The 15,040-nt window shown below is 35.9% G+C and overlaps 1 pseudogene; it reads left to right on the top strand.

Moving 5' to 3' along the window:
• CAPZA1P1 (CAPZA1 pseudogene 1) lies at nucleotides 9,630-11,968 on the top strand (annotated as a pseudogene).

Genomic DNA, 15,040 nt, shown 5'->3' with positions numbered 1-15,040 from the left:
TTTCAATTATGTCTTCTACAAATTTGATAAAATCTCTTGCCCATTGTACTATGTCTCCCATACACTTTGTCCTTGTAAATTAAAACATTTTGTTAATTTAAAACATAAATTTAGTTATTGTTTAGTAAAGCAGAAAAGAAAGATATATGAGCAACCCGCTATGTCCAACAAAAATGCTATTCGATAACTTTATTTAATTTTTAAAATTTAAATGATCACAATTTTTACTTTTTAATTTTAAAATCACATCCTTTTGTTATATATGGTTTTGTGTTAAGTCACTTTTGGAATAAAGTAAGTAATAAATATAGGCTTCTGAAATAAACACTACCACCTACTTTATACTATTACTTGAACAGCAGATAAATGATAAAAATGTTTGTCACCTTTCAATGATAAAATCCTGATCTTCTGTATTTGGATATTGGGGAATCACATCTTATTAGTCAGGAGTCATTTTGTGTTGCCTAACCTTGGGCTACTTAGTTAATCTCTCTGATCCTTAGTTTCCTCATCGATAACATGAGGATCATAATTATGTAATGGTGCTGAACTCGAAGGGTTGCTATAATAATTACATGCATACATTTATGTAAAGTACTTAACACCTGGACCATCACATAAAAATTGATTAACATTTGCTATTATTAAGAGAAAACTAAGTTGCAGAACATTATGTAGAGCATGATTTTGTGGAGGTGATGAAAGTTTCCTGCTCACATCTTTCTTCAAGAGAACCCGCTTTTGGGAGCACAGTTGTCCTACATATACCATGTGTGAAACATTTAAATTTATTGTGGTGTTCATATGCTGAGGCCTTACTTCCTTTGAGATGCCGCCAAGCAATGACGAACAGGGTGGAGGCTGCTAGATTTGGGCCATTAATGACCTGGGGCTCTTGCAATAGGCAATTCTTTTTCTGGGATTCCAAATTAGTCTAACACATAAATTTTTAGAACTGTGTTACGTGGTTTGAGACTCTTCCTTCCCAATTGTTCCCCCTTTCCTTTTTTTTATGTCACAGGTGTCACACATGCCTCAGGCTAAAGGCTCTTCTTGCCTGCTTCTCCTTCCTCTCTCTTCATTTTTCACAGGAGATTCCCAAATAAATCTCTTTTACATGTAATGGCATATTTACATCTGTTTCTCAGAGAAGATCTCAACTAATACAGATCATTTTATACACACACACGCATATATGTATATATGCATATATATGGAAAATTAAAAATTCTTGAAAGATAAAGAGGAAATTGATCAATTGCCTATAAAGAGTGTAAATGTAGGTTGAATAATTTGGCATTTTCCAACTTTTGGCTTATATCCTATTCAAATTTTATTTGAAGGTTTAGTATAAGCATGCATTAATTTTATATTTAAATGCAAATAAATCCATAAATAAACTAAATTCAATTAGAAACAACATGTTAAATAAAAAAATATTGAATATGGACTTAGAAACTCTAGATTTGGTTATCTGCTCTGACATTTTTTAACTGAGCAAACTAAATTCTCAACCTTACTTTCTTCACCTGAAAAAATGAGAATAATGATTGTCACATGACATTGTGTCTAATATAAAATGCAGGTTATCCATGCCAATGACATCCACTGTCAAAATATCCACTTCTCACTATTTAAGTTCAAGGTCAACCTTGTACAGAAAACAAATGCATGAATGCCTATATAGCATAATCTAAGATTTTGAGTGGCCTTATCTACCCAATGATAACACCTTTATCTGTTTTCTGTAATTCGAACTCTGCCAGGGGAGGGGGGTCTTGAATCCTGTTATTACAGATATATGGTGTTCAGTGCTCTATTATCCTGTGCACAAAATTAGCACTTGAATGACCAAAGTTCACTATGAATTTTGTTGATGGCAGTGAGATGCAGAGAACCTTGTTTCCATAGATTGATAGTAGCCTCATTTGCAGAAGCTTGTTTTGTTTCTTATAACCAGAATGCTTTTTGCAACATTGATATTTTTGTTATTAACTCTTACTTAGTAATAAGGTAATTATTGTAAATCATCCAGGCATCACAGGTGCATGCCCAACTAGAGGCTCCATTTGTATTGGCCCAAACTAAGCATCTGATGAAATAAAATGATGATTTCAACGTCTGGTAGAAAAAAGTTGAACAAATAAAATGTTTTTCAAAGTTAAATTATTACTTTTAAATTCAACAATTAGATTATCTAATTTATCTAACAACCCTACTGCCATGGAAAACGAAATGAGTCTAAAAACCCTTATGTAAAATAAGTAAGTTGAAAAATAGTGTAATAAATGAATCCTTTACCTCTACATGTAACAATAATTTTAAGAAAAAAATTTTTAAAAAGTTTAAAAATAAAGCATTCTTTGACATTTATAGCCATGCTTCTAAAATACAGTTAAGAGTCTGCTTTGTCACTTGCCATTCATTCTTCAGTTTCTCTGGACCCCTCATCTCAGTGAATAATACTACCATCTACCAGTTACCAAAACTAGAAATGTTAAGCTATTGTTTCGCCCTTTTACGCCAATACCATATATTCACTTGAATTTCTAATAGACATATCTAACTTAATATATGAAAACTAAATCATTTATCACCAATCCTCTTAACCTGATCTGCTCATAGCTTTCTCCATCTCAGTTATTGGCAACCCCAGTTTTCAAGCTTCTCTGGCCAAAAGCACCGACCTTATTGTTTACTCCTCTCTTTATCTCTTTGATAGAATCCATCAATGAAATCTTGTATATGTTCCTTCATAATTTATGCAGAATCTCATCATATGCACATCACATGGTCACTTTCATAACCGTTCTTTACCAGAATTATTGTCATTGATTCCTAACTGGACTTTTTGCTTCCACTTTTGTTTCTTTACAATTTATTCACAACTAAACCAGAATGAACCTTTTGAAAGATCCATGAAATATTTCTCTGCTCAAAGCCCTCCATTGATTCCTCGATTCAACCAGAATGAAAGCCAAAGTCCTTATGATTCTTTACCAAGGTCCTACACAATGTGATCCCCATTTTCTCTCTAACGTCATATTCCAGTTCTGTATTCTTCTCTCAATACACTCCAGTCAAACTGGCTTTATTTCTCGAACATGCCTGGCAGTCTCTACCTCAGCATATTTACACTATCAATCACCTATACCTGGAAAGCTCTTCCTCCAGATATCTACCTTCTTCATTCGCTCTCTTCACCTTTTCAGTGAGGCCCAACCCTTACTAACCACACTATTAACCCTATAACTCTCATTCTTTTAGCATTCTCTATTTTTTATAGCTCTTCTCACCTTCTAGTATACTAGAAAATATCTGACAATGAAGCAGTATGTTTACTTCTTGCAAGATTTAAACTGATTATGGCACCCAAGAGACACCAACAACTAAGATATGGGGTTAACTATGTAATTCTGAGTTTCATGATATTTGTTCTGTTCTCAGTAAAATCTAGAAAAAGTGGTGTCAACGAAAAGGGTCAATCTCTAAAATATTTAAAGACATTTATTCTGAGCCAAATGTAAGTGACTATGGCCCATGACACAGCCTTCAAGACATCCTGAGAACATGTCCCCAAGGTAGTTGGAGTACAGCTTGGTTTTATACATTTTAGGGAGACATGAAACATCAATCAAATACATTTAAGATATACACTGGTTCGTTCCAGAAAAGCAGGACTAGTTGAAGTGGGTGCTTCCAGGTTATAGGCAGATTTAAAATTTTTCTAATTGGCAGTTGGTTGAAAGAGTTATCAATATCTCACTGTGGGTAGCTAGTCAAACATGAACAAGGCAGGAGAGGGCTCCCACACCCCACCAGGAAAGTCAGGCGACTATCAGGTGATGGTCAAGCAGTTGTCACGCTGCCTCTCTAAAATAATAATAGGTTGCAGCCAGTGCCAGGGAAAGATAGTCTCCCTACAGATAGAAAACACCTGAAACAGGTTCTTAGCAGCTTTTTGATAAGATCTTAGGAGTTGGGCAAATTGGCTCAAGCATGCGCATTAAGAGGCAAAATGGCAGAGTATGACCTTCCAGGGAAATTCTGCAGGTAAAGGGAAGAACGCCTCAAGTGAGCATGCGCACAACTCCAGTAAATACACTGCGCGTGCTTACCTCCCAAGTGCTAGCAGTCCACTGTACATGCAGGCAGCCTGCCTCAAGGGAAGAATAAAGGGAGAAGTGACGCAAGACCCCGGAAGTACATCAACATAAAAAACCCCAAGTCGAAAGGTCAACCCTGCGCTTGTTCTTTAAGTTGCCTGTTTGCGCATATTCCCAGTGTACTTTCTTTTCTTTCATTCCTGCTCTAAAGATTTTTAATAAATGTTCATTCCTGCTCTAAAACTTGCCTCAGTCTCTCCTTCTGCCTTATACCCCTTAGTCAAATTCTTTCTTTTGAGGAGGCAAGAATTGAGGTTGCCACAGACCCATATGGATTCACCACCACTAACAAATAGAAAAGAATATCTGGGTTGTGATAAGAGGTTATGGAGACCAAAGCTTTATTATGCAGATAAAGCCTCCAGATAGCAGGGTTCTGAGATTATAGATTGCAAATGTTTTGTATGAGACTTACAGTCTGTGTTGATGTTAATGCCAGGAGAGGTATAATGAGGCATGTCTAACCCCCACTTTCTGTCATGGCCTGAGCCCGTATTTCAGGTTAAAAATAGAGTGCCCTGACCTAGGAGGAAGTGCATTCAGATTGCTATGGGCCTTCGAATTTTACTTTTGGTTTACACAGTCTCTCAGAACAGAAACTTGAATCTCAATAGGCAGACATACTGTCATTTTAGAAGATGCTAAGAGCCAGAAATTAAGGGGCCTCAGGAATAGAATACAAGCTTCAGATGACTGAGAAGTTTCAAAAATTAATGCCACATTTCAGACTGTACTAGTCCTGATGTACAGATTTAAATTCAGGCAAGGCAAGGACAGAAAATTGAAGAATGTCTATTAGGTTGATAAGTAAGGAAGCAGAAGTAGAATTCCAATCATTAGATTTGGTAACAAACAGAATAAAAATTGAGGTAAAGTATGTTCCTGAATAACAAACTGGAATCCTGTTTCTCTTATCTTATTGGGAATCATTATCACCCGGGGAGCATGTTTTAAAAATCTGGGTTCTCTGGGAATCATAAACTACAAAGTAAGAGACCTTTGAAATTTGTACTTTGAAAAGCTCCTTGAAATAATTCCAGTGGAGTCAATCCTCTGACCTGCCACTCACTTCATTTTACTTGACTAACTACAAGATTTTTTGAAGATTTCTGGCTCCCTTAAGATTCTGGGCCTGAAAAAAAAATTGAGTAGATTCTGCTACCGTGGGATATGAGATTTGAAGGTTAGATCAACACAATCTTTTAAAAAAGGCACAAAATGGCATTTCCCATACACTGTAAGCACCATGAGGGGAAGTTTTATCTGTGTCTTTGCCATCCTTCATACAGTGTCCATAACAGTGGCTGCTACATAGTAAAAGCTTCATAAATTATGGAACTGATTACATAAAATCAATGCCTACATGATAGGTTTCTTTAAAAGTCATTCTAAGTATTTTGAAACTCATATTTTTTCTAACTTGCTCTGCAATGAAAGCAGTCTAAAACATCGATTCAATGTAGTTGTTAATATATACTAAAAACTTAAAAAGTTTAAAAAATTTATTTTACCTCTGAATAAAACCAGTACTGGCAATAGGAACTAATATTTTGCCAATTTCCCCTGAGAAGAATTTGCTGCCCCTGTTTCTTGATGAATAAAATATCACTGTCTATTTCAATGATGTTGTCCATATTCAGCTCTTCTGCTAGTGAAGAAATTCATTCGTTTGTCTCTCTTGCAGTCAGTCACTGTAGGTTGCTTCTGCTCTCCATTTCTCTATGTTCTTTTTGAATGGGGAATATTTAAACCATCCAATTTCCAACGAGGTTTTGAAACTGAAAAAGTAATGGTGCATACAAATACATTATGTATTAATGAAAAAATGTATTTAACTTACGATTATGTCATTTATATTCTTATTTGGCAACCAGCTGCTTCTTTGAGCTTTATAATTGCTGCTTCTCTAATAGTCTTACTCTATCACCTTAAAGACGATCTAGTTCACACTAGTGGAAAGTGATACAAATCACTGCAACTGTGGCTTTCGCAAATTTTTTATTAGGTTGAGATTTCCTTCTATGAGCTTTATCCCATGAATAATATTATTGTTTTGTAAAAGGAAAATAAATCTTGGGACCCCAAAATCACTAAAGTAAAGGGAAAAGTCAAGCTGGAAATTACTTAGGACAAGCCTGCCTCACATTCTATTCAAAGTCATCCTTTGCTCACTGAGATAAATGCATGTCTAAATGCCTCCTTTGGAAAGGCTAATCAGAAACTCAAAAAATGCAACCATTTGTCTCTTATCTACCTGTGACCTGTAAGCCCCTCCCCTACTTAAGTTCTCCCCTCTTTGCTTCGAGTTGTCCCGCCTTTCTAGACCAAACCAATATTCATCTTACATATATTGATTGATGTCTCATGTTTCCCTCTAAGGTATAAAACCAAGCTGTGCCTTGACCTTCTTGGGCACATGTCCTTAGGACTTCCGAGGCTGTGCCATGGGCGCACATCCTTATCTATGACAAAATAAACCTTCTAAATTGACTAAGACACGTCTCAGATTTTGGAGGTTCACATGTTGGTAACTATGAAGGGATTTTGACTAGAGGTGTCCCTGACCTTTCACAAATCTATTGGTGCTTGGTACTGTTACAGGTAGTTAGACAGGCATGAGCAGGGAAGAAGAGGGCTCTCCCCTGACCCAGTATGAATGTCAGGTGACAGTTTGATGATTATCACACTGCTTCTCTAAAAATAGTACTTCAGCAGCCACAAGGAGAGATAATCTCGTGATGATTCACAGCTATTAACATTAAAAGTGCTAATTGAATGCAGATGCCAGGGAAAAGAAAGTTCCTGGGCATGTGCACTAGGAGACAAAGTGGTGAGGTATGATGTTCCGGGTACACTCCACTGGAAAAAGGGAAGAAAGCCTCAGATGAGCATGAATACAACTCTTCGGACAAACTGCGCGTGCTCAGTTCTCAAGGGTAAAGAGGGTGCTATGCATGAGGGAAGTCCACCCTAATGAAAGAGTCATGGGAAAGAAGTGAGCATATAAAGTCCTAGGATCAAGATCAAACGCTCCTTTTTGACTCTGTTTTGATCTTCAGGTGCCCTCTTAGATCTCTTCCAAGTGACCTTTCCTTTCTTTCCTGTTCTAAAGCCTTTTGAAATGATCTTCCACTCCCGCTCTGAAACTTGCCTCGGTCTCTTTTCCTGCTTCATGCCCCTCAGTCTAATTCTTTCTTCTGAGGAGGCAAGGACTGAAGTTGCTGCAGACCCTCATCGATACACCACTGATAACTCAGAGTAACTTGGATCTCTTCCACCAGTAACAGAACCAGCTTGTGCTATCTTTATGGCTCAAACAAATAGGACAATTTGCTGAGGCCTGGAAGCCCCGCCGCCCCGCCCCGCCCCTCAGAGAATCCCTGATGTCCCCAGATTTGGTCAAGATCTAAAGTTTATTTTGCTGTACAACTCCTTTTTTTGGAGTTTTACTTGCTTCCAACAAAAAAGGCAAGTTTCCCTGCTTCCATGACAATGGAAGGCAGATAACTTCTTTATGGAGTTTGAGCTCACTTCAAACAGGGAAGGTGAGTTTGAGTTTTTTCCTGCTTCTAGGATGTTAGAGAGCAGTCTTTAGCCTGAGACCCATCCCTAGGTAAGTAGATGAATTGGGGTTTTGTCTTGGCTAAAGTTAATATTAACAACAAACTGGTCTAAATTTCTCCTTACCATTAGAGCTCTCAGTGATCATATTCTTGTTTGTTTGTTTGTTTTGTTATTGTTTATTCTGGTCTTTCTTCTATCAGATTTAACCAACTCTACCTAATTTGGTCAAATCCGAATGAGAACTCCAAACTATGGGTAATGAGATCTCACTGAATTGGTTAAAATTCCTCACAGCTGCAAAAGAGAGGAAAAAGAAAACAACAGACAAAACCATGAACTTGGTTGCTGTGTTTGCATCCCATCTTAAAAAAAAATGTTGTTTCATTTACTTTTCTTCTATCATATACCTCCTTCTCCCTTTGCCATCTTCAGTACCAGGAAAAATCTAGAGAAGCCTTCTAATGACTCAAACCCATTTAAAGAATTGAAAAACAAAGGTGCCACTTACCCCTTTTGGGGTGTTCTGTTCTGCGTGTGTGTGTGAAGTTTCAAGAGTCATGGGCAGATTCTTCTTCGGTCTAAAGTTCTGCTTTCCTGTACTGCATTACCTGACCTTTTTGACTCTGGGGGTACCAGAGAGTACGTTGTACTGTGAAAGGATTTGAGCCTGGCGTGTGTAATGGCAGATGAGAGCTACAAAGTATAGGGGTGGGTGAGGACAGTTTACAGCAAGTGGTCTTGGCTATCTTTTTTCCTACTAGAAAGTTGTTATTTAAGAATTCTAATTCTAGTTCAATAAAGGGTTTTCTCCATTTCTTTTTCTCCCCAAATTAATTTCAGTGTGGCTTGTCTGTGTGCATTTATGTGAGGAGCTGACCTGTTGTTTTCATAGGTAAATAAAGACTGAGTTTCCTCAGCTCCAAACAGAAAATGCCTTTTACTCCTCCCAGCTGAAAGATACCCCTGGGTGACCTGGAGCCTCATGGGAGTGTCTAGTGGGTTTACCCGCCATGATGTGCAATGGCCCTACAGGGAAACACCAACAGAATTAGTTTTAAAAAGGCTCATCCAGAAAGTGCGTATGGGAGCTGGCCACTACATGCTTTGTGCCTCCCTGGAGATGCTTAGAGACAAAACACATAAGAGGGTGCCAATGACTCAGTGGTAACACACTGTGGCCTCCCACTGGCAACAAGCACACACTTCAACCCAGTCCACAAAAACCCTAGATGACAACTCAGTTCCTTCTTTTAAGAAAAAGAAACAGTGGAAAAGAAATTATGTAATAATGAGGAGAAAACAAGGAGAATGACCTCCTTTTGGGTACCGTGTTGGTTTTATGGCACTTCTACTTGCTAAAGTTTGTGAAAAATAGAAATATTATGGTCTTTGTGCACATTAACATCAAGGAAAAAGAGCCCTAAGGTCAATCTGTAAACTATAGAGTTCCTAAATTCTCTTTTTCTCTATTTTTTTTTTCTGCCTGCTTTAAATCTGCTGTTACTTTTCTACTGAGATAAAAACCACAGTTTGGACCCGACCTCTTTATTTTGTTTTTGAAAGCCAGTAAATTTGTATTAATATCTCATGGCTAGAGTTCTGAAGTAAAAGTTACAGAATTTGTGTGTGTGAGTGTGTGTGTGTTTGTGTGTGTATATATTTAAAAGGCCTTTATGATAGATTTCTATTTTATGTTTAAATGGCAATTAAGCTGGTTTTGATTTCCCTCTAGCACACCAGACTTTTTCTCTCTTTACTTTGAGATGTACGTTTTTGTTATCTAATTTTTCACCTAAGGGTTATTTTCTTCAATATGAAAATTTGTGGTTATTTAGCTGACAATTACCTAGGGTAATAAAATAGGTTATCATTTTGAAAGTGTGAAAAAAAGGTCTTAGAACAGCCCAAGATGGACGACTTCGATGATTGTGTGACGGATGAGGAGACAGTAGGCATGGCTGCTAAATTCACCACTCATGCACCCCCAGAAGAATTTAATGAAGCATTCAATGATGTTCGGCTACTACTTAATAATGACAGTCTCCTCGGAAGGGGCAGCACATGCCTTTGCCCAGTATAACCTGGATCAGTTCACGCCTGTGAAGATAGAAGGATATGAAGATCAGGTCTTAATTACACAGCACAGTGACCTGGGTAATAGCAGAGTTTGAGATCCAAGAAACAAAATTTCCTTTAAATTTGATCACTTATAGAAAGAAGCAAGTGACCCCCAGCCAGAAGAAGTAGATGGAGGTCTGAAGTCTTGGAGAGAATCCTGTCACTGTGCTTTAAGAGCCTATGTGAAAGACTATTATTCCAACAGCTTCTGTACTGTCTATGCTAAAACTATCAATTAACAACAGACTATTATTGCACATATTGAAAGCCACCAGTTTCAGCCTAAAAACTTCTGGAATGGTGGTTGGAGATCAGAGTGGAAGTTCGCCATCACACCATCTACAGCCCAGGTGGTTGGAGTGCTTAAGATTCAGGTTCACTATTATGAAGTTGGCATCGTTCAGTTGGTTAGTCATAAAGATGTACAGGATTCGCTGTTTCGAATGAAGCCCAAACTGCCAAGGAGTTTATTAAAATCATAGAGAATGCAGAAAATGAGTATCAGACAGCAATTAGTGAAAACTATCAAACACTGTCAGATACCACGTTCAAGGCCTTGTGCCGGCAGCTTCCAGTTACCTGCACCAAAATCGACTGGAACAAGATAGTCAGCTACAAGATTGGCAAAGATATGCAGAATGCTTAAAGGCTGAATGTAGGATTCTTCAGTATGTGAAAAGACAAAGATTCAATGTGTAGTCATATGATAAATAAGTGATTTATAAACAAGAGTAATATTTTGCTAGGGTTTTCAAAGTTAACTGGTTTTCTGGCCTCATGGAATACTGTCGAACCTATAGCATTATCTTGATTCTTTTGTGTTCTCTGCCTTGTAGTTTTCTGTATTGCTATATCTATGTGTAAACCATTTTTTTGTTGTTGTTAATTCTGCCACGTTTAATGTTGGTGAGAGAGAAATCTATCCTAATGACATTTTACTGTTTAAAAAAGTTTCCTAGCCATGAAGCCCTGCTACTGATTTAGACAAGGTATTATGGTCATTACTTTCTACCCCTATCCTTCCAACCACTTCTGGTACTTCACTGGTTTTTACTGATTCACCAACACCTAAAGAGGCTATGCTACAATCTATAGCTAAGTGGACACATTCATCCTTCTCCCTCTGACTGCTTTGATCATCATTTATTGAATCTTGTAACTGTAACTTTCCAAAGTTTGGATTGGGACTTTTTGGATCCTTTTTGGAGGGCAAAGGAAGTGCCAGCTTCTCTGGGGAACTTGTTTTTAAATCCAAAGACTTGAACCACATTCCCTGAACATGAACATGTTTGCTTTTATCCATTCTCTCATTGTCTCCTTCCCATCTTAGTACCATTGTAGTTATAGACATCTGCATTTTTAGAAGCATTTTATCCATTTTACTAAACATTCAGGAACTGCTGACATACTGTGGATGTAGAGTAAAAAACTTGAAAAATGCAGATGTTGAAGGAATACTAGGTATCTTGTGCTTTAGTACTTTATAGCAAGATTGTACTATAAGCAAATGAATTAAACATCTATGTAAGTCATAAAAACTAAAAGTGACCCAAAGTGAAAAAGATAACTTCCAGGCAGTGTCTTTCTATTGTAACCTGTTATTTAAGGAAATACTAGTGATTTCCTCTAACTAGGATATAAAGCTTATTTCAAATTACTCTTCCTCAGTTCTGCCTGCCAAGAAATCAATTGTAACTGTGATAAAGTAATCTTTCTCAGGTATATTGGCAGGTATGTGTGTAATCTCAGAATACACAGGTGACATAGATATGACATGACAACTGGTAATAGTGGATTCATTTACATTGTTTACACTTCTACAACCAGGCCTTAAGGGGAAAGTCAGTTTTTTAAAAAACAAGTAGTGTCTTCCTACCTATCTCCAGATACATGTCAAAAATAAAAGGTGTTCATGCTTACGTTTTGTTTCTGCTCAGTAACATAGTCAAACAAAAGTTTGTTTCTAAACAGTTTGTTACTCATTGAGCTGTGTATGCATTTTTGTTTATTTCAAATAAAATATATTTGTATTATTTGTCATTCATACTATCCATCCCATAACACACTATCTTCTGTATCCGGTAGTCTAATAGAAATATACCCGTTTTGTTCTAAAAAAAAGTCTTATGAATCTATAAGATGTACTTCTATCACCATTCCTAATATGTCTATGTATCTATGAGCTGTGTACATAATGTTTCACTAATAAAAACATACAACACTCTAATTAATTGGCTTAAGAAAAATAAAAGCACTTAAATCAAATACTTTATCAGAAAAAAAGGAAAAGACCCGTCAAAGGCTTTTTCCCATTTTTGTGAATTAAGTAAAAATTTTAATAAATAAGCTAGCTTTAAAATTATTGGTAAAGTAATATTAGAAATATTTTAAGAATTTCCAGCATATATTTTTGTTTGAATTTATTGATCAAGCAATTTCACAGTTATCCCTGTCAAATACTATAAGGTGTCAAAATTTGGCAGAAGGGTTACAAAACTATAAACCAAGCCCAGAACAGAATAATCTTTGCTTCTGTAATTTTTGATACATATGATGTTAATATTGGTTTCATAAAAATTGCTAAATCTTAAATTATTTAGTTAATCTTAAGGTTCTTACTTAGGTAAACACCTAAAATTCACAGGCTATAAAATAGTTGACAGGGAAATAACTGCAGCCACCCAACAGTTTCACCTTGCCCACTACCCAGCCAGAGCTGATTTATTAAGACAGGGGAATTGCAATAAAGAAAGTGTAATTCACACAGAGCCAGCTGTGTGGAAGGCTGAAGTTTTGTTATTATTCAAATCAGTCTTCTCAAGAATTCAGGGATCAGAGTTTTTAAGTACAATTTGGTGGTTAATGAGCCAGTGAGTTGGGAGTTTTGATTGGCTGGGTTGAAGATGAAATCATAGGGAGTAGAAGGTGTCCTCTTGGGCTAAGTTAGGACCGAGGTGGGGGCCACAAGACTAGATGAGCCAGTGTATCAATCTGGGTGGTGCCAGCTGATCCATAGAGTGCAGAGTCTGCAAAATATCTCAAGCACTGATTTTAAATTTTACAATAGTGTTGTTACCCTTAGTAGCAATTTGGGGAGATTTAGAATCTTGCAGCCTCCAGCTGCATGAATCCTGAACCATAATTTCTAATATTGTGGCTTTAGGCAGTTTAGTCTCCAGGTAGGAAGGGGGTTTGTTTTGAGAAAGGACTGTTGTCATCCTTGTTTCAAAGGGAAACTATAAACTAGTTCCTATCAAAGTTAGTTCAGCCTCGGCTCAGGAATGAAAAAGGATAGCTTGGAAGCTAGAAACAAGATGGAGTCAGCAGGTCAGATCTCTTTCACTGTCTCTGTTATAATTTTTCAGTGGTGGTTTCATAACTGTAAATGATGACTAACATAGTTTTTATAAATAATCTAGGTAAACTATTAAAACAAAACAATTAGGTAAATTTAATGGGATAAATACTTCTGAATACACTTGTCATAATTTAGAATCTAAAGTTATATCAAATTAAATAATGGATATGTTATTAATTGGGTATTTTTCAATAAAAATATGGTAGAAAAACATTATTTCTAAAAAATAAATGTGTCCTTTTTAAAAGGTGAATAATTTTTGTCTAATTCAAAGATTATTTAAAGTTTATGTATAAAACAATGTAAAAGGAACTAGGAAATAAGAGGGATTTAAAGAATGTTACAGAAATAAAGAGATATTTTTGGTAAGAAAGGTTAAACACAAATAATTTTATGTGGGAAAGAATCTTGTATGGTAAATTTGTCCTAGAATAAAATGACTGACTGGTTGTTTAAAAAAGAAGGATGGTCAGGACAAACCAGAAAGTCCAATCATGTCATGAATGATCCATGTACATCATAACAAGAGGATTTATATTAAAAAAAAAACTTTCATTGATCAAGTTGCATATAATTAAATGAAAATTATAATGGATTTTCTAGAGATTAAATTTTGATTAAAAAAACTTAAACACTGAAGAATTCATTCAAACTACAAAATTTTATTAGGATATTGCTTTACTCTTAAATTACAAGACATTATACTATTTTTAATGGAAAATTCAACTTTTACTGTGTCTCGCTGTTTTTTAAGCTTTCTCTCACATTTTAAAAGGACAAAAATGAAATAATAACTCTATCTTTCAACTTATTTTCAATTTGTGAAAGTTTGTGTTTTTTCCCCTTTTGGGTTCTAACTGCTGTGGCCTAATGCTAAAAAATTTTAAGAATTAAAACATAAAAATAAAAGTTATATCTTAAAAGGATTTTTTTCTAACATAACATTTCCCATAGGGAACAGCAAAGTCTTTTCTTTTGCCTTGGGTAACTGGCCTGATAAACAGATCTTATGGTTTATCGAAATAATTCATACATCATTATTACTAAGTTCGGTTTGCTTAAAAAAACTGAGAGTATAAAAAATTTAATTAAGATTAAATCTGTGTCACTTTCTGTATGTATTTTTAAAGTCCTTGTGTCATTAAGTTACAGGGCTTTGACTTCTTAGTCTAAGAAGGACACCAAGTCCTGCTAAATCTTAACACTGACAGCAGTTAGAGCCTATCAGATATTGAATTCATATCTGATAGAATATACTAATCAAAATAAACTGCATTCATGAGACACAGGGCCAGAAAGTAAAGCTATTCAACTCTTCGAGGCCAAGGGACTATCACAGAAGAGGTGGGCACACGAGGTTGTAAGAGCTGATTTTGAGAGAAAAAATAACTTCAGTTTCTCTATAAATGAAACATTAATGTCAAAGGCATACTGATGCAAGACCAGAATATGGGCCCCTGTGTCATATTAGCAAGGTTTTCTTGAAGAATTAATCAACCCCTTAATAAAGGCTGTAAAGACCAAATCTTATGAGTCCTATGACTCAAATTTTATAGATTGTTTATAAAATTTTAAAAAACAAATTTAATAGGCTTTATGCTGTTTTTATTAGGGTTTATTGTTTGGAAAACTAAGTCTCCTTTCTCAAAGAATAAAGGTTTTTGCCTTTTTTTTGAAATCTTTGAGTTATCATTTTGCTTAAATGATTGACTTATTTTACAATTACCTGTGATCCTATTTTGTAATATCAAGCATTTTAAACCTTTGATATTTGACAAACTTTTCAAGATAAAATTATAATTTTTGTTTTTTTCTGATCTAATTAATCCTT

This window comes from Homo sapiens, chromosome X (assembly GCF_000001405.40).
Source record: "Homo sapiens chromosome X, GRCh38.p14 Primary Assembly".
In the NCBI taxonomy this organism is placed as follows: domain Eukaryota; kingdom Metazoa; phylum Chordata; class Mammalia; order Primates; family Hominidae; genus Homo; species Homo sapiens.
The sequence above is the reverse complement of the archived record's forward strand: the minus strand, read 5'-3'. Positions and strand labels throughout refer to the sequence as shown.